Source organism: Homo sapiens, chromosome 4, assembly GCF_000001405.40.
Source record: "Homo sapiens chromosome 4, GRCh38.p14 Primary Assembly".
In the NCBI taxonomy this organism is placed as follows: Eukaryota; Metazoa; Chordata; class Mammalia; order Primates; family Hominidae; genus Homo; species Homo sapiens.
Window position 1 is genome coordinate 158844233 of NC_000004.12, and position 20468 is coordinate 158864700.

General features: G+C 40.6%; 1 protein-coding gene across 13 annotated transcripts in view, besides 1 other annotated feature; it reads left to right on the top strand.

The window, feature by feature from the left end:
- Window positions 1-20468, top strand: part of FNIP2 (folliculin interacting protein 2) — a 139025-nt gene that overhangs the window by 75207 nt on the left and 43350 nt on the right. For 11 of the 13 annotated variants that reach the window (XM_005263158.3, NM_020840.3, XM_047416018.1 and 8 more), the window contains 5 exons: window positions 7089-7218; window positions 14825-15026; window positions 15346-15434; window positions 17110-17256; window positions 17375-17544. In XM_005263158.3, coding sequence (XP_005263215.1) covers window positions 7089-7218; window positions 14825-15026; window positions 15346-15434; window positions 17110-17256; window positions 17375-17544 — 738 coding nt within the window. The remainder of the gene's footprint in view (window positions 1-7088; window positions 7219-14824; window positions 15027-15345; window positions 15435-17109; window positions 17257-17374; window positions 17545-20468) is intronic. The other 2 variants (XM_017008487.2, NM_001346043.2) reach the window with 2 other exon arrangements.
- Window positions 1132-1780: an enhancer, noted in NCBI's record as "OCT4-NANOG-H3K27ac hESC enhancer chr4:159766516-159767164 (GRCh37/hg19 assembly coordinates)". NCBI's record gives its function as "activates a minimal SCP1, AML or CMV promoter by ChIP-STARR-seq in naive and primed H9 embryonic stem cells {active_cell/tissue: H9 hESC(naive and primed)}" and the evidence as "EXISTENCE:reporter gene assay evidence [ECO:0000049][PMID:30033119]".

A 20468-nucleotide genomic window follows, 5' to 3' on the forward strand; every position in this document is an offset into this window, starting at 1 on the left:
TATAGTACCTGGCATATAGTAGATGCTCAATGAATATTTGAATGAGGGGGGGAAAATAAATCCATCCATATATATAAGTAGGAGTATGCTTGGATTTTTTTTGGTAAATATTGATATTATCTGGTTCTTTTCATATAGGATGTCTGGGATGTCCTCCCTTTGAGCCTTTTCCATGGCTGGCTTTTGTTGGCATTTAAGTCTCAGTTGAGATGACCCATTTTCATAAAGGTGATGTCGACCACTGATTAAAGAATTTATGTCTACCACCCCCAAAAACCTTTGTGCTAGTTATTTAGAGAAAATCATGGTAACTTATTTTTATAGTAGTTACCACTGTCTGAAATAATCTTATTTATTCCATGAGTGTAAGTCTCTTAAGGGCAACTACTCTGCCTATGTCCCTTCAGTTTCCATCCTAGGTCCCTAGCATGGTGCAGGCACTTAGTAAGTGTTCAGTAAATATTCGTTGAGTGAATGGATTTGATTTAAGAGCTTCAGGGCCTTATTTGGTCAAATCTAAATTCTTTCATCAAATAATCACTACAGTGTTTTCTAGTAAACTGTCACAAGTAGCAAAAATTTTTTTTCAGAGAAAGTTAAACATTAATCTTGAACTTGATTGGCACATGCCAGGAACAGCAGCAAGCAGCATTTTAAAATCTTTAGATTGATTCTCTTTTCTTGTTGTTAATCTCTGCAGGTATAAATGGATGCTAGTTGAAGATACCTCCTTAGATAGGAGGGTTGGGACAAAAGCACAGTTGTGTTTAAGCTGGGCGTTAACCAGATATAAAATGTTAACAGTAATCTGGTGATGGGACTAGTGTTAATTTTAATTTTCTTCTTAATGCACAAAACTGCCAAAGTCTTTGCAACCTATATGCATTAACTTTTTTCTAATTATAAAAGTATTGTAAAAGAAAAGCTCCTAAAAATATTAAGGAACATTTAGATATAGCACTTTTGAAACTGAAACTGAGCCTGTGAATAATTTAACTAAAAGTCTTGGCATTTGATAACTGAGGTACCAATTGGAGAATTTCTTTATCCAGTACACAGAGTTAACTGGAGGCACAGCTAGCACTGAACTCATGCAAAAGTTCTTTTCATTATCATGTAGATGCTAGGCCGTATTCCAAAGGTAGTGAATCAACTAGGGGAGAGCCCATGTTGCTGTCTTGTCTTTTTCTTTTTAAAGAGATGAGGTCTCACTATGTTGTTTAGGCTGGACTCAAGCTCCTAGGCTCAAGCGATCCTCTGGGCTTGAGCTATCCTCCTGCCTCAGGCCACCAAGTTACTGGACAACATGCTTGCACCACCACCTTCATGAAGCTTTCTTTTTAAACAAGCTCCCCAGGTGGCTCAGATGTATACTAGCACTCGAGCATTGCATGCATTGCATCAGAAGGCCCTGCCATTCAGATAGTGAGCCAGGCCAACATTCAGATACACTGATGTTGACTGAATCCACCCTTTTGTCATGAAAATGGCAGTTGTTTTCAGGTTAAGGTTAGTCCTCTTGCATTTGAAAGTTGTACTGAATTGTTATCTAGAGTATATGATTAACAATGATGTGCCACAGCACTTTTACATAAAAATCTTAAAATACTTTTGATGAGGAAACGCTGGATAGCACTAAGCCAACACTGTAATATAAACTGTCTCATTTGCATGCCATAAAAAGTGTCATTCAGCAGGAAAAAAGGAATGTTCTCTTTGATTTTTTGCCTTCTCTTGTTATGTCTCTTTTACAAGTTATAAGTTCTTCTCATAATTAACTAATTAGAACTAATAATCTTCTAGTACACCAAGTTGTCTTACTTGGCCCACCTTTTCCGAGAATGATTAGAAGGAGTGAAAAGCTAACATTTATCGTGTGGGTGACTGGGTTAAGTGTTGTATGTGTATTGATTTGTTTAATCTTCACAGGAAGCTTATGAAATAGCTGTTTTTTCAGATTTTTCTTTGATCTGCAACCCATGCTAATGCATTTTACATCATGATCTAGTAAGAAACATCTTTATATATTACAGAGAATTTTCATGGATTAATATTAACAGTGCAATATACTCTGTTTTCTTTTCTGTTTTTTTAAATGTTGGTTTTGATCCACTAGACAATTCAGAATCCGCTAGCAGATAGCAGCTTTCATGAAAAATACTGAGGTGTGGTACTTTATTGTCCCCGTTTTACAGATGAGAGAGCTGACACGTTAAGTAAACTGCTGGCCAAGTGTCACAGCTACTAGACACAGAAGCAGGATTTGAACTAGGAGCCTGGACTCTTACTCAGTTTGCTAACCTGAATTATATAATACAGATAATTTCCAGAATAAATTGGACCTCAGGGTCTTCTCTGTCTTGTGTTGTAGGGGCAGAAAGGTTGTGATACCTTTTCTCACCCCTCTTAAGGGTAATAGCTGACACACCTGTAACAAAATACAGGTTAACAAGAGAAAAGCGTAACAAATGATTTAATCAAAATTTTACGTGAAGAGGAGGCAGAGCAAGATGGCTGAATGGAAGCCTCCACCGATCGTCCTCTCTGCAGGAACCCCAAATTTGAAAACTATCCACACACACAAAAAAATAACTTCATAAAAATCAAAAATCAGGTGAACGATCACAGAACCTGCTTTTAACTTCATAGAGGGTGGGAGGGTAGGCGAGACAGTCTTGAATTGCCAGCGCCACCCCTCCCCAATCCCCTGGACGTGTGGTGCAGAAAGGGAATCTGTGCACTTGGGGAGAAACTTTGCATTGGAATGCAGTGCTGCCAACACCAGGCAGAGCTCAGCTGGTGCCCACGGAGCACTTACTCCAGCCCTAGCCAGAAGGAAGCGCCCATCCCAGCAGCTGGAACTTGAGTTACAGAAAGCCTTGCCACCACGGACTAAAGTGCTCTGGGGTCCTAAATAAATAAACTTGAAAGGCTGTCTAGACCACAAGGACTGCAACTCCTGGGCCAGTTCTGATGCTGTGCTGGGCTCAGAGCCAGTGGACTTGGGGTGCACACAGCTTAGTGATACACCAGCCGGGGCAACTAAGGGAATGCTTGTGCCACCAATCTCCCAACCCCAGGCAGTGTAGTTCGTAGCTCCAGGAGAGACTCCTTTCTTCCACTTGGAGAGGAGAGGGAACAGTAAAGAGGACTTTGTCTTGGATACCAGCTCAGACACAGTAGGATAGAGCACTGGGCAATGTCATGAGGTGCCTATTCTAGGCCCTAGCTCCCAGACAACATTTTCAGACACAGCCTGGGCACAAAGGAACCCGCTGCCTTGAAGGGAAGGACCCAGTACTGGCAGGATTCATCACCTGCTGACTTAAGGCCCTGGGTGAGACTCTGAGACGTGACATGACCTAGCACAGTCACTGCTGTGGTGGCTTTGAGGAGAGGCCCCTTATGCTTGAGAAAACGGTACCAGGTTGGCCATAGTGGGGTAGAGCACCAAGCAGGCACTTAGGGTCCTCAGTTCCAGACATTGGCTCTTGGACAGCATCTATGGACCTGCCCTGGGCCAGAGGGGACCCCACTGCCCTAAGGGTGAGTCCCAGGCCTGGCAGCATTCACCATAAGCTGACTGAAGAGCCCTTGGGCGTTAAGTGAACATCACTATAGGCTGGCAGTAGCCACTATGGGCCCGTGGTGGTGGTGGACATGGAGAGAGACTCCTCTGCCTGGGGACAGGAGAGGGAAGAGTTGGAATGACTTTGTCTTGTGGCTTGGGTGCCAGCCCAGCTGCAGCAGAACAGAGCATCAGGTAGATTCGTAAGGTTTCTGACTCCAGGCATTGGCTCACAGCATCTCTGGACTCACCAGGGGGAACTTGCCACCTTTGAGGGAAGGACACAAGCCTGGCTGGCTTCACAACCTGCTGATTTTAGAGCCCTAGGTCTTCAGCAAATACAGGCGGTAACCAGGTAGTACTTGCAGCAGGCCTTGGGCAATACCCAGTGCTGTGCTGGCTTCAGGTCTGCCCCAATACAGTCTCAATGGTGGTGGTCACAGGGATGTTTGTTTCACCCTTCCTCCAGCTCTAGGCAGCTCAGCAGAGAGAGAAAGAGACTCCATTTGTTTGGGACAAAGTAAAGGAAGAGAACAAGAGTCTTTGCCTGGTAATCCAGAGAATTCTTCTAGATCTTATCCAAGATCAGCCAAGGGGAGCACAGTGTCAGCTGGCTTGTTCAGATACAGCTGCAGTGACCAAAGACTTAGATCACAATACCCAAGTCCCTTCAAATATTTGGAAAGCCTGCCCAAGAAGGGTGGGTACAGACAAGCCCAGATTGTGAAGACTACAATCAATACCTAACTCTTCAATGCCCAGACACTGACTGACATCTACAAGCATAAAGACCATCCAGGATCACGTTACCTCACCAAATGGACTAAATACAGCACCAGGGGCCAGTCCTGGAGAGACAGAGATATGTGACCTTTCAGACAGAGAATTCAAAATAGCTGTGTTGAGGAAACTCAAAATTCAAGAGAACACAGAAGGAATTCAGAATCCTATCAGATATATTTAATGAAGAAATGGAAATAATTAAAAAGAATCAAGCAGAAATTCTGGAGTTGAAAAATGCAATTGTCATACTGAAGAATGCATCAAAATTTTATATGGCATGGGAGCCTTCAGAGATACCCAAAGACCCAAGGGAAAACTGTCCCTTTTTATGCTTAGATTTGATGAAGGAGTGGGTAGCCAGGTAGAATTGTAATTGGACAAAAGGGGGTTGATCTTATAGTCACAGACCAAAGGGGAAAACCCACCTAGCAAGGGCCCATCCTGATTCTTCTTGATCTCTCTGTGTGGCATTTCTTCCTGTCAGGTATAGGACTGGACCCCTTCTGGAATTAAGGGTCTTACGATCTACTTTCAGATAAAGTAGGCCTAAGAATTTCCTTATAGCCAGCTCTTACATAGAAAGGCAAGGGAATGTTAAAGTAATATTTCTAGGTTTCATGGCGGGCTTTGGGGGAAAAGGGGATCTAGTTTCTGTGACTTGCCTTAATGAAGAGGAATTTTAGTTTCTGTGGTTTGCCTTGCAGGGAGGAGGGGGAGCAGGAGAAAGAAGGTCAGGAGAAGATCTGAGACAGACTTGACTTCTGAGGCCTTCCAGTGTCCTTTGGTTCAAAGTGCTCAGGATGCCAGGGCACCATATTTTGGGGTATCATTTTCTGAGCCCTAATACTGTGACAGGAGAAAAGTATTTATCCAGCAAGTACCATCTGTCAACCTTGTTCTCTGCCTGCCAGAAGTTGATTTGCTCAGCATAAGGGAAGGAGAGAGGCAGGACCCTAGAGATGTGGGAGGGGGCTTCTGGATTCTGTAGGGGACTTTAGGAACTAGGGGGCAGGACAGAAACGTCTAATTAGGATGTTTTATTAAGTAATTTTGTGTGACTCCAAGGAAAAGCTCTCTTCTAACTCCTTTCAAAATTCTCAGAAAAATTACCTGTTCACTGATACTTGAAATGTGGATTTGGTTTTGGGGATTTAAGTCTGGTCTCAAGATGGCAACCAGGTCAGCTTACTGGGGCCAGCCACATGTAACAGTTTGGTTAAAAAAAAAAAAAAGTGCCATACGTTCAGGAAGCATTTGCTAATTGCCTACTGTGGTCAAGGCACCGTTATGGGTACAATGGATGCAAAGATGATTAAGACCTACCAAACAAATTTTCTGTGAATATCAGCTAGATAAAAGGAAAAGCATCTCAGAGACCTCTGCTTTGGAAAGAAACTTGAGTCATCATGTTCATTGATACTATTATAGACTTGTCCACCACTTACCCCAGTTGCCTACCACACCTGGCATTACTTATTAGTTGATAGCAAAGTAACTCCTGTAGTATTTAAGAGCTCAGGTCGGGAAGTCAGGTTATTTACATTTGCCTACAAAAGTATAAATGTAATAGTTCATGTGGAGACACTGCTTTATCAAGTGATATTCATGAGCATAGTATACTGTATTTACCAAAATCAATTTCCTTTGCCCTGTGATTTGTTTCAGAAAATGTTGACTGGCCATCTGTAGCACCCTATTTTATTTTCCACTGGACTGAGTGACATTTCAATGTCTAATTCCTTAGCCTTAGGGAAGTAAAAGCAGAACAAGTCTGTTTTCTTCCATTCTTTCAAACCAGTAGATGTTCATCAAGCAGCTTGACTTGAAAGAAACCCTTTGCCTACCTGAGAGGGACTAGTCCCTCCTCCCTGCCTGTTAGAAAAGTCTGGGATGGCACTGTCAGCTCATACTTCCTGAGACACAGGTGTAGGCATCTAATATGTAGCAGGAGGAAGCAGAGAAAGGTTCAGAGGCAAATAAGTAATCCAAGCAGAAAGCATATTGGAGAGTAGAGGTTTCTTTTTCACAGACAACAGAGTAGCAGTGGGGGCTGGAGGGAAGGAGGATAAGTATTGTATATATGGAGATGAAGTTTGGGAGACAGGATACTAGATGGGGAAAAAACTTATTTGCCTAATTTTACCTCAAAGTATAGAGTGAAGGATTACTAAGGAGGAAATATGTGTAAAGTAAGCATTATGTATGGCATTAGTTACCTGGTGGCAATATAGTTATGTTGTGTGGACCATTTTAGTAGAAATCTGCAATCTACAGTCTGAGCAATGATTATTTTGCATTTGTAATATGGGCCTGCTAATTTGTGCACTTGCTACATCTGTGACTCTTATTTCGTTTAATTTGTGTTCCTTTTTAAAGGATGTTTTCTTTGCTGTTCAGAAATCTTAGGAAGAGAGAAATTATAGTCTCCCCCTGCTGGATATGACTGGTAGAACCTGAAATTTTAGATTACTTGGCATAGATATTTTTTTTCCAATTTTTGGATTGTATTAAAATACATATAATATGAAATTTACCATCTCAACCATTTTATTAGGTTGGTGCAAAGGTAATTGCGGGTTTTGTCATTTTTTTAGTGGCGAAGTGTACAGTTTAGTGATATTAAATACATAATAAATGTAGAGTTCAGTGATATTAAATACATTCTTAATGTTGTGCATTATGTAGCTACATGAGGACTAATTGACCTCAACTTTCAAATTCCAAATTCTTCCTACAGCCTCACTAAGCAGTCTTTTGATCACACCTTTCCCATCTCCAAGCTCCTCTACATCTTCTTCCAGCAGTTACCAGCGCCGCTGGCTTCGAAGTCAGACAACAAGTTTGGAAAATGGCATCATCCCAAGAAGGTGAGTTGCAAGTTTCCTCTTGCTGAGAAAAGTAGGAGTGTAGGCAGCTTGATGAAACTGGCAGGGAGGCTGTTCGTGCCTATTGTCAGTGGAAAAAAAACCAAAACTTTTTTATTAGCTTCAGCTGAGCCTGAAAGTTTACAAATTGGAAGTTCTAAAGGGAAGAATAAATAAAAGCTGAAATTTTAAAATCTCCTCCTTTGGAAGACACTGGGGAGTATCTGGGTAGTTGTATCATGTTGAGCTAGATTGGGTGTTCATTTAAAATGGTGTGCTCTCTTTAAAATGAGTCCCTTCCAGATGTAGCTTGTATAAGTAATGAAGGGTGGATCAATCTCTTCCTTGGCTACAGTGATACCAGTGTGGTATTCAAAAATATATGAAGTCAAGGGTTTGTGATATATTCTCTTTGTAAAATGTAAATTCTTCAACTAAACAGATATGAACATGATTTTAAATAGAGATGGCATCTAGGTATTTTCTGTCTTTATTTCAGCTGGTTTTGTGTGCAAAATGTACATTTGATGTTACATTCATAGCTTCCAACTTGTTCTTCCTACAATCCAAATACTTGAAGTGGAATTTTTATATGTACCTATAAAAATTCACATGTCAATTAACTGATTTAGTAAATTGACTAGTACTCAACATACGTAGAGATCCGTGAAGGTATAAGACAGTTCAGCTATGTGCCTGTACTTGGATAGTTTACAAGATGGTACATGATAAATATCACAGGGAGACATAAAGTGCCATGAGACTCAGGATGGAGAAAATACAGTGATGGTCATGGGGGGAATTAGGGAGCCCTTCCTGGAAGAGATGACACTGCAGGGACAAGCTGAGAAACTGAGGGGTCAGGATGTGTGAGCAGCACATGTCAGGTGGCTTGCCTCGCTTCTGTTCCTTTCACAATCCTAGGGAGCTAGCTGGAAAGAAAAAATTATAGCTTTGTCACCCATCAAGAAGCTGCTTTTTGGTTGGTGGACTTTGAATGAGATGATTAAAAGCTTGGAATTTTGTGTGAACACAAGTCCTAGCTCTGTCACTCACTAGATGTCTGATAGAATAAGTTAACCTGGATTCTGAGTGTTGCATCGTCATCTGCAATATGATAATAATACTAGCACAGCTTCCGAGTGTGGCTGGGAGGGTTAAATGAGATAAATCAAGTCCGGTGTTTAGCCAAGACATAGGATATGGGCAATAAAATGTGGCCAATGTGAATTATTTACTATTATTATTGCTGTCATTGTCATTACCATTACTGCAACTGTCAGGAGACGGCATCGCCACCATCCTCACTGTCATTATGACAGCTTCTGTGATTGGAAGAGATAGGTCTTGGAAACCATCCTCTTTCAACATTTCTTTTCTGAAAATGTTTTTTTATCCCTTCAGGTTTAAATCCAAAGTTGAAATAATACACCTAAAATAAGTATCTTACATTCAGAAAGGTTGTGAATATGGTCAAGGCTGGCTACCTAGTTTATGGGCCAGTGCAAAATAAAAATGTGGTCCTCTTACCCAAAAAACAAGAAAAGAGTTATTAAAGGGACTAAAAAGAAAAAAAGTTTTTCTTTAAGAATACTTTATATGTAAGATATAATAGAGATGATAGTGATAGATGAATAATAATATAAACTAATAAATTCCAAACATAATATTTTTGATGTCATAATTTTATATTATAATATCATTATGTGATATCTTGTGTTGTAAGCCTTTTCTGCAAATACATTTGTTTAGTCATCAAAGTTTATAGTTTTAGCAACTTGGCTTTCAGTGGATATAATTGAAAGTGATAGTCACTCCTGGCAAATGCAAGGTGGCAAATAATTTTTGATAATTTTTTACTTGGAGAAGGATCTTTCTGCTGATGCAGTCTTACATAGCTTTATGGACTATGACAACATCTGGATAAATTTTTTTTATTATTATTATACTTTAAGTTCTAAGGTACATGTGCACAACGTGCAGGTTTGTTACATATGTATACATGTGCCATGTTGGTGTGCTGCACCCATTAACTTGTCATTTACATTAGGTATATCTCCTAATGCTATCCCTCCCCCATCCCCCTACCCCACGACAGGCGCCGGTGTGTGATGTTCCCCACCCTGTGTCCAAGTGGGGACATTGTTCAGTGCCCACCTATGAGTGAGAACATGCGGTGTTTGGTTTTCTGTCCTTGCGATAGTTTGCTCAGAATGATGGTTATGGATAAATTTTTGATAAACTTTCAAGATGTAAATTTTAGTACATCTGGATCAGATGATTCTTGTTAAACAGTTTTTTAAAAGATTTAATTCTTCACACAAATCCATTTTGAGTAAGTCTGAATTTAATTTTAGATGTAAATTTATACAAGCTTATTTTAATATTTCTTCTGACATTTCCTGTAACTTGTGGAGATCTTACAAGAAACTAAAAATGTTCTCATGAGTTATATATAATTCAAAAAGCCTGTTTATGCATTCTATCACTGTGTCCTCAATTACAAGGAAAAATTAATTTTAAAATGGCCTTCCTCTTTAATAATTTGTTCATCTGAAGCTTCATATGAAAACAGTGTATTTTTTTGTCCAGTATAACAATCTTTACATTCAATTTCTATTTCTATGCCTATGAATATTTACTTTGCAGTGTTGCAGCAGTTTTCAAAAACAGAGACTAAACTCTCTGCAGAATTATAATAACTCCCTGATATTCTTTATTGCAATGTCCCCATGTAGGCTTTTACTTTGTGATAATTTACTGTCCTGGTGCTCAGGTCATAGAGTTAAATATCTGTGCAGACTCTATAGGGACAGGCTCCGGTGACTGATGGGCAAACTGGCCTCCCACCCTGGTTCCTGGAGCTACCAGAGTCCCTCCTCTCTCCTCTCCCCTATCACCCACAACCATGGCTACTGCAGCTTCTGTTGTCACCACAGTCACAGCCATTAGTGTGGGTCCAAGACCTGGCAGTGCCGCTTTAGAGTCTTCTAACACCGTGTCCTGCCCCAGGCTTATGGGTATGTGCCTGACTGCCGGGCCAGTTGCTCGGTGTCTGGGCTGCAAGCCCTGGGTTCTGAGTTCATCCGTGCCCTCCCCATCATAAGGGTCATGGCTCCTGTAACAAATACAGGTTAACAAGAGAGAAACATAACAATTTTATTTAGTCAAAGTTTCACATGACATGGAGCCTTCAGACATGAAGATTGAGGGACCCAAGGAAAACTGTATTTTTATGCTTAAGTTCAACACAGAATGGACTGCCATGTAGAAATGTGATTGGACAAAGAAATATGATCTAATGGTAATAGACTTAAGCAGGAAAACCCAGCAGGACCTGTCTTGTCGGAATTCTTTTTGACCTCTCTGTATGGCATTCCTTCCTCCCAGGTAGAGGGTAAGACCCCTCCGAAATGGGAGGGTCTTATGATCTATTTTCAGGCAAGGTAGGTCAGAGAAATTATTTGTGACCAGCACTTACAAAGGTGGGAGAAAGTTAGAATAGTATTTCTATAATAGGTTTTACAGTTAGCTTTGGGGAAAAAAGAGGCTCATGTTTTTTTGATTTACCTTGGGGAACAGGAATCTTAGTTTCTATGCCTTTGGGGAGAAAGAGGAGTAGGAGAAGGAAGGGCAGAATAAGGTCAGAAAAGCAAGGTCTTGCTTTTGAGCCCCTGTCCTTCAGTTCAAAGTACTCAGCATACCAAAGTGTCATACTTTGGGGTATCCTTTTCTGAGCTTCATTGTCTCATTAGACTTCATCCGAACACATGCTTCATTGTCCCATTAAACTTCACTTACAGCACAAAAGTCCAAAGATAAAATTATTTAAAATTCAAAATGGTAATCACAGAACATTAAATGAAGCCTGGGGCCCTTGTGAGAGGGGGGACGCTGTGCGTGTGGGGTCGCATGCCCATGCAGCCAGCCCTTAATAGAGTACTGCTGAACACCGAGAACATGAGTGTGGCAGACGTTTTGAATTGATTACTGTGCCCGTGAAGATCCCTTTTTTTTTGAGACGGGAATCTCACTCTGTCACCAGGCTGGAGTGCAATGGTGCAATCTCAGCTCACTGCAACCTCTGCTTCCCGGGTTCAAGCGGTTCCCCTGCCTCAGCCTCCTGAGTACCTGGGATTACAGGCGTGTGCCACCATGCCCAGCTAATTTTTGTATTTTTAGTAGAGACGGAGTTTCACCATGTTGGCCAGGATGGTCTCGATCTCTTGACCTCGTGATCCTCCCACCTCGGCCTCCCAAAGTGCTGGGATTACAGGCGTGAGCCACTGCACCCGGCCTAAGATCCCTTCATTTAAAGGATTTGTAGTTGATCTCTCCCTTTTGGCAGATATGTGGTTGGGAAAATTAGTTTTTTATGCTAGAGACAGGAGAATAGTGGGTACCAAACACTATGATTGCTTCTGGCTTTGACAGAAAATTCATGGTAATTAAAAATGTCCTTCCTAAGAGAGTTAAAGGTAGCAGGGATGATAGTCACAGTTTCTGTTTTTTGTTAGAATCGGGCAACACTTTATTCTATAAAATAGAATGAATGTTTTCAGTATTCACAATTCTTAACAGTTGGCTCCACGCTGACCTCAGAGCCCCCTGCTGTGCCAAGTGGTAGGCTTTGATTACTGGATGGGGAATGGGGCTTGGGCATCTAACAGCTAACCTCAAGGATTCCATCACTTACCGAGGCAATTGAAACCCTAAAGAGCAAGGTGTAATGTCCCAGGAAGCCTTTTGATTTGACTTATTAAATTGGACCAACTTTATAAAGTTGCTGATGGGATGTTCTTTGACCTACAAAACATTAATTTCATATAGTCCAATGTAATACATAGGTTCAGTATAAGTTCAAAACTGACATAAATAACAATTAGACTAAGGAGTCCTGATACCAGTGATAGATTATTGAGATGTACTTAAATAGCCATTTTTGCTTTAATTATTTATGATCTTGAAGTACTTACAATGTATATAAATGATTATCGATAAGTGTTAACAAAATTCTATTTGATTTCTTTATTAGGAAAAAAATTGTATGTAGCTGCAGCCTTTCCTTGACTCTCAGGGCTGTCGGTTGATCAGACTGCTTCCAGCTCCTTTCCTCAGTGCTCTGCGTGGCATGATGCATTGACTAGCATGAGCACCAGCAGACAGATTAGGCATGGGGTCAGAATCCCTGGTCATTGCCAGTATCCAAGTCATGAGCCTAGACTAGAAGATAGGAATCCTGGGTTCTAACTCCAGCATTGTTACTAAGAACCTTTCTGTTCCTGAGGAAAGTTGAGGTAGAACTCTGCCTCAGTTTCCACATTTGCAGTACAGCCTGTGTACCTTCTCTGGTGACATGGAGATAAAGTACTGATGAAGTACTGGGACACACACTTAAATTTTTGAAAACATTCTTAAACATCATTTTTTGTAGAATAATTTCTAAATTATAAGTAAGATACTACGTGACCTGATTTATTCCACGTTGCATGGTTGATGCAAGACTACAGAATGAAACTCAGTTGATTTAGAATTCAGTGGAGGGTTATGGTGAAGCAAGTAAGTTCTCCACTCTATTATAGCTATGGAAGTTTTTCAGAAATTTCAGCAGGTGGCACTCTCTCCTACATTAAAACTGATGAGAGCATTGGCTATTGTTTATAGGGTGGAGATGTTGATGAGAAACTGTATTGGGTTCAGTGTTTATTATAATTTGATTATTAAAGGTCAAGCTGGCCTAAAGATGAGTGGACTGATACAGTCATTTTACTTTTGAAAAAGAAGGGAAATGTAAGATGACAGACAAAGTGGAAAGGATTGCAAGCAAGCCTTATTGTAATATAAACTCAGAAGAATTTCCTATACAGAACAGAAATCAACTACTGTAGTGCAAGAAAACAAGGCTTTAGTGCCAGTACCTTGGTAAAGAAGAGAGAACATTGTATGAAATTGTGTGAAGTTCTAAGGAAACCTCAAGAATTTTCTCTGATGATTAGAATCCGGGAATTTCCCAGGGAAAGCAATTGATGGTTTATTGTAATGTGTAGCATTTATAACAGCACCATGTGCCATCAGTAACATCTGGAGTGAAAACCTTTTACTGATTTACCAACCATACCTACATCTCCAGGATCTTGCTTGAAGTTAAGGGAAATAGTAACACATAATGAGGTTAGAATAAGATGTCTATCTCCTTTCCTTTAAAAATAAAATAGCCAGGTGCAGTGGCTCACGGCTGTAATCCCAGCACTTTGGGACACTGAGGTGGAAGGATCACTTGAGCCCAGGAGTTCAAGACCAGCTTGGACAATGTAGGGAGACTCCATCTCTACCAAAAAAAAAAAAAAAAATGTATCCGGGCATGGTGGCATGTGCCTGTAGTCCCAGCTACTTGGGAGGCTTAGGTGGGAGGATCGCTTGAGCCTGGGAAATTGAGGCTGCAGTGAGCCATGATCACACCACTGCACCCCAGCGTGGGTGACAGAGTGAGACCCTGTCCCCCCAAAATTAATTAATTAATTTAATAGCTTTCCTGACCATAACACTTTTGGCATATGTATGTTTAATAATAAAATCTAGGTTTATTTGAAATCATACAAGCTATGAGTAGAGCCCTAAGTAAATAAGTTGAAGACCAGGGGGCAGAAGGCTAATTCTCATATTCTGCCCAGCATGAGTAATTGTTATGTTGTAATTTATAGTAAAGAAAATGGAGGAAGCAGTTCCTTTCTATATTTGGCAGAGATAGGAGACTAGATGATGGAGTTAGAAAGAGAAAATGTATCGCCAGTCTAGGGCTCTCATTTGCAATGTTAGGTCCTTTGTGTTGGTGTTTTTGTAGGAAAAAACTATTTTATTTGTACTCTTGCTGTTAGTAGCTATTTGGTAGCTACACTGGCTTTTCACAGTAGTTAAGTAAGAGACATGGTTAGGCCATTTTTGTGAGGCTTACCCCACAAGACAAATTAAATATATATTTAGAAGTTTTGGGCTTCGTGGCTGTCATCATAGAAGCCGAGTCTCTCAAAAGAATCAGGTTTTTTGAAAATTTTACTGTAGCAGAAGAGAGGTAAGTGTTTCTGCTTGGAGGATTTTCAGAGAGCTTAATCATATGGCTTAATCTGAGCATTTAGAAGAGTTACTTGATCTAGTAGTTTTAATAGCCCTGGGAAAGTAATCCTGGAAGTACCAGTACATGTTCAAATGTTTACTCTTGTTCAATAGAATACCACGTAGTATCATTCCTCTTTTGATGTCTTATCTATTGGTATCTGACTATGTTTTGGATAAACAGATATTTCACATTCCTTCCTAAATATCATCAATTTGACATAAAACGATTCAAAGGAAAAGGACAAGAGTAACAACGGGAAATTTAAATTACTTGTAGCTTTCATTTGAGCTTCTTTCCATGTTAGGATAATACCGTGTGGCAGGCAAGCTGATGTTCTCATCTTCATGCCAGGGAATTATAGAAAAGAATGAACTAAAGGCAGAGATACTCTTAGTTATGACTGAATGTTCTGGGTGTCATCCCCAGTCATTACAGTTGACCTTCAGTGTGACTCACTGATGCATGGCAACTTTTCAAACTTATATTTCCCTCCAGGTCAACTGATGAGACATTCAGCTTGGCTGAAGAAACCTGTAGCTCTAATCCAGCTATGGTTAGGAGGAAGAAAATTGCCATAAGCATCATCTTTTCCCTATGTGAGAAAGAAGAAGCACAAAGGAATTTCCAGGACTTCTTCTTTTCTCATTTTCCCCTGTTTGAATCTCACATGAACAGGCTGAAGAGTGCAATTGAAAAGGTAATAAGGATGTAATCCAAAGTCAAATAGAGAAGTGATTGTGGGGCTTTGAAGATGGCAGAATTTCTTTGCCGATGTATCAGATGTCTTTCCTAAGGAAGTTAAATCACCTGTAGCAGTGATAAATTTTAGGCATGTTGATGTTAGTTACCAGATACTGGGTTACCTTAGGGAAGGAAATGACTGCTTTTTCGTGACTGAAGGCATTATTACCTTGAGTGTTGTTAATTGATTACATAATTTTTTTTATTAATACAGCCCAGTAGATAAGTTATAAAATTTCTTCTCAGTAATTTGACTTGCTTTCTCTTCAATAAAGGCTATGATCTCCTGTAGGAAAATAGCAGAATCAAGTCTCCGAGTCCAGTTTTATGTCAGCCGTTTGATGGAAGCTCTGGGAGAATTCAGGTAAAGTGGCAAAGTTTGGCAAATCCAACAGGAGATGTTTATGAGCAGCCATGGATAAAGATAAACTGTGACTTGGAAGAATTGGGGGCCTGGCAGTTATTCCTCACTTTTGTGGTTCCGCCCTTCAAGATGGAAACAGAACAAATGAAGCAAAAAATTTAAATAATTTACCGCTGAGTAATCCTCACTATTGCTCAACCGACAGTCCCTGATAGGATTGTTTTTAACAGGATGAATGGGGAAAACTAATGTTCAGGTATCTCTCACCAGTCTATTCATTATCTTATGTCAGCCTCACAAAAGCCCTAAGCACTACTAACCCCATTTTACAGATGTGGAAACTTGAGTTCAGGGATGCTTATTCAAAGCACAGATGGAGAGGTTATGCATGTCGGGAAGACATACATTCCAGTTTGCCAGGACAGTCCTAGTTTACACCAAGTGTCCTCTGGAAACTGGTGTCTAGAGTCCTTGCTCCTAGTATCTGTGTGGAAAGGTAAATTGTGTTGGGTAGCAGGTGGGATCCTCTCTGATCATGCTGAGTTGGGATTGTTGCACCATTTAGAGCCACTTTCTTGATAGGGAATGGAATCCCACTCCAAAGCAGTCATGAGCGAATGAGTCAAACTGTTATTCCATAGAGGAAGGATAAAAAAAAAATTTATAATCCTTTGAATGTTAGAACACTTTTATGATGCTTAAAGTATATGCTGATGAACTCAGTAATGCTACCTGGAGCAAAATCGCAAGCCTTTTTTTTACTGTGGATTATGTGTTAAAGTACTCAAGTAACATGTTACTTATTATCTGGTGATTGCTAAGACTTAAGTCATATATTTGAGAATGACATAAAGTTGTGCTCTTTGATGGCAGTCTGATGATTAGTAAACCTTCCATAGTTTTTGGGAAAGCACTGGAGATTTGCCTGTTGCTCTGCTGTGGTCAGACTGGACGCTCACTGGCTTGCGCTTGAGAATCTGGGTCCCACTTTTTTTTTTTTTTTTTTTTTTAGACTGAGTCTCGCTCTGTCACCAGGATGGAGTGCAGTGGTGCGATCTCGGCTCGCTGCAACCTTCACCTCCTGGGTTCAAGCGATTCTCCTGCCTCAGCCTCCCGAGTAGCTGGGTTTACAGGCGCGCGCCACCATGCCCAGCTAATTTTTGTATTTTTAGTAGAGACGGGGTTTCACCATATTGGCCAGAATGTTCTCTATCTCTTGACCTTGTAATCCACCACCTTGGCCTCCCAAAGTGCTGGGATTACAGGTATGAGCCACCACGCCCGGCTGAGAATCTGGGTCCTACTTTAATGAGGTGTCTATTTTTCAAAGGTCAAGAAGCTGAAAGTGAGGCTTTCTAGTTCTGTACTTTCAGTTTCTGTAGAGTCTCTGTAGTAGCAACTGAACTTAGCCGTTGTCCCACAGAAGCAGCCATAGACAATAAATAAGTAAATAAATGAGCACGGCTGTGACCCAGTAAAACTTTTTATTTACAAAAAAAGGTGGCAGTCAGATTTGGCCCGTGGGCCATAGTGTGCAACCCCTGTTATGTGTGGAGCTTGAATCTTTTAAGGACTACATAGATTCAAGTTGTTTTCTCCTTTATTCTTTTACACCAAGATTATCCAAAATAGTATTTCTGACACTTTTGTGTTTCCCTCTCTTTCTGTTCTATAGAGGAACTATCTGGAACTTATATTCTGTTCCAAGGATAGCTGAACCTGTATGGCTTACTATGATGTCCGGCACTTTGGAAAAAAACCAGCTCTGCCAGCGCTTTCTCAAGGAGTTTACACTTCTGATAGAACAGATAAATAAAAACCAGTAAGCTTCAACTCTCTGGAGACTTGTATGCAAATCTCATGGCCAATGTGTGTACTGCATAGGATGTGCCTCTTTCTGTATTGACTAAGTTGGTTGTATCTTTTTCCATTTCTCCAAGGTTTTTTGCTGCCTTACTGACTGCGGTGTTAACCTACCACCTGGCCTGGGTCCCAACTGTCATGCCTGTGGATCACCCTCCCATCAAAGCCTTCTCAGAGAAACGTACCTCCCAGTCAGTGAACATGCTGGCCAAAACACATCCGTATAATCCTCTTTGGGCACAGCTGGGTTAGTACCTAATTTGACTATTCAGAGAATATATGGGATGGAATAGGAAAAAAATGCTAGAATTTGTAGTTTATACCGGCTCTCTCACCCAGTAATTCATAGGTTGTCTTTGGGCAGATGAGGAATAGGAAGTTGGTCCCTGGATTCTAATTGTAGACCCACGACCTTCCTCTCTTTTTTCCCCTACTGGCAGCTTTGTGCTACACTCTTAAAGCAGTATAAGCCAACTGTGTTCTCCCATTCCACAGTGGCTGTTCACCCTAGAGCAGGATTTCTTAACCTCAGCACTGTTGACCAGGTAATTCTTTGTTGGTTGAGTTGTTGTGGGGTGTGGGAAGAGCTCTCTTACGCATTAATGGATATTGAGTGGCATCCTTGGCCTCCATTTACTAGATGCCAGTAGAACTGCCCCTCCCACCTCCCGCCCCAAGTTGTAACAATCAAAAATATCCACAGAAAAGCACCTCATCCTGGAAAGCAGCATGCTATAATAACAATAATGAAAGCTGACACTGTGAGCCAAGCCCTGGTTTTACACATAGTCATTAGATTCTCATCCCTACCCTTATTACTCTCAGCCTCATTTTGTAACAATACAGATGTTGTCTTGTCCTTGTGCTCTTGGTCGTGAGATGTATAAATGAATACAAGCTCCCTCATGGTTAGGGGGTAAAAGGCGTGTTCTAAATCAATTAAAGAATTTGTGGATATTTAAATGGAATTAAGGAAGGGGAGATATGGAGAGAGGCTAGTTAACAAATATAAAATTACAACTGGATAGGAGGAATAAAGTCTAGTGTTCTTTAGCACTGGATTACGATAGTTAAGAATAGCTTATTTTCAGAGAAAGCTAGAAGAGAGGTTTCAAATGTTCCCAACACAAAGAAATGATAAAAGTTTGGGGTGATGGATATGCTAATTGCCCTGATTTGATCATTACTCAGAACATGCCTAACTCATTCTTGGTCATACGGGAAGTTTTTCCTGGGGAAGACAGAACATGGTTGTTTTGTTATGGAATAATAATAGTCTTGAAAAAAACTTAGTCTCATTAAGTGGAGAAGGAAAGGGGGCTGGATATTAAGGAAACATTGTATTCCATGCTGCTGGATCACCCATTTTAAAACAATGCTAATTAAGTAGTGTGCATTTAGTTAGATAAATGTATTCATAATTAGGTGTGCTTCTTATTTGAAACATAACTGAGAGCCATTAATTCCCTATGTTCAGCATAATAACGAAGAGTTTTTTCCTGTGGGTTCACAATCCTCATCTTTCAGGGGAGATCATGTATTGTTGAAAGTCTTCAGTCCTCCCTTCCCCCAAACAATCCATCAGGGGTCTGGCTATTGACAAGAGGAGTGTGAGGAGGGGACGAGGACGAGGCCCTGGTCGGCGAAGGCCTGTGATAGCTTTGTAAAGCCAAGTGTAAGTGATGGCCGAGTTTCCATTATTACAAAGAAGTCGGGGGCCTTCAATAATTTGACAGGTAGAAGCACTTGCTTTGCATTTTATTGTTTTCATTCAGTATTTAGCAAGTCACAGTAAACATGAAAATAGAAACTGCTGGGAATACACAATGATGGAGATAAAATTTCAATCCAGGTTCCTAAGTATAGAGAAGACTATCTGGAATCATTCCAAAGACTCCTCTGAGAGCTTTCCAGGACAGGTGCCACTGTGCGTTCCCCCTCCATGGCTGCTCAGCACTACCAGGGAAGAGGGAGGGAAGCCGGATGCCACTTTCACGGGTTTGCTGCTCAGGAGCTCGGTGATCCTTGCTTCTGCCCAGCCACTTCCCTGTGTACAATGTGATCGCCACCCATTAGTGGGCTGCAGAAGCAATTTAGTGGGTTTAATTAAAAAGCATTTAATTGGTATAATAGAATAGAAAATATCAGTGATTTACATGTATATTTTGTAAAATGTCTGTTCCAAAAGATGCATTGAGGTTGCAGTATAAAATGTATTTCTTTCTTGGCATAGGTATACAAAGTTTAAATGCCACTGTCTACACCACTGACTGAAGTAGTTCCATATAGGTCTCTTTTTGACCTAATGATCTTAAGGGTTTGTAGAAATGAAAAGGAGCTTTTCTACCCAAAAGAGATTTGGACCACTGATTTAATATAAGTTAAAATGTGTGAAATTTTTTTCTCAGAAGTTTACATTGTATTTTTCAAAACACAGTGGAATTAGACTACAAATCAATTTTTTTTTAGTTCTCACTTTCTCAGAAATCAAACCATGTATTTTTGTTGTTGTTGTTGTTTTTGAGACAGAGTCTCGCTCTGTCACCCAGGCTGGAGTTCAGTGGTACAATCAAGGTTCACCACAGCCCCAACCACCCAGGCTCAAGTGATCCTTCCACCTCAGCCTCCCTGGTGGCTGGGACTACAGATGTGCGTCACCATGCCCAGCTAATTTTTGTAAAGGCAGAGTTTTGCCATGTTTTGCAGGCTGGTCGCTGGTCTTGAACTGGGCTCAAGCGATCCAACTGCCTCTGCCTCCCAAAATGCTGGGATTACAGGTGTCAGCCACCATACCCAGCTGACAACCACATTTAAATAACCCACAAGCCAAACAAATTGCACAAAAGAAATTAGAAAACATTTGAAATAATGATAATAAAGATGCAATAAGTTAAACTGTGTAGGGTATAAGGAGACACTGTTGAAAGGGGAATTCTACAACATAGACGTTATTAGAATGTGATCAGGAATAAGTGTGCCTTTAAGATACTAAACTCTCTTCTCGTCTCCTTATTTTTGTTCTCTCTCAGCTTCTCCTGGTTTATTTTTGTTTCTGTCTATATAGTCCCCTACCTCTCTAACCCCCTTTCTTTCACCATGCTTCCTTTACAGGGCTTCTAAATTCTCTCAGCTTCTCCACCTCATTCTTTCCTCTCCTCTTTCTAGTTTCCA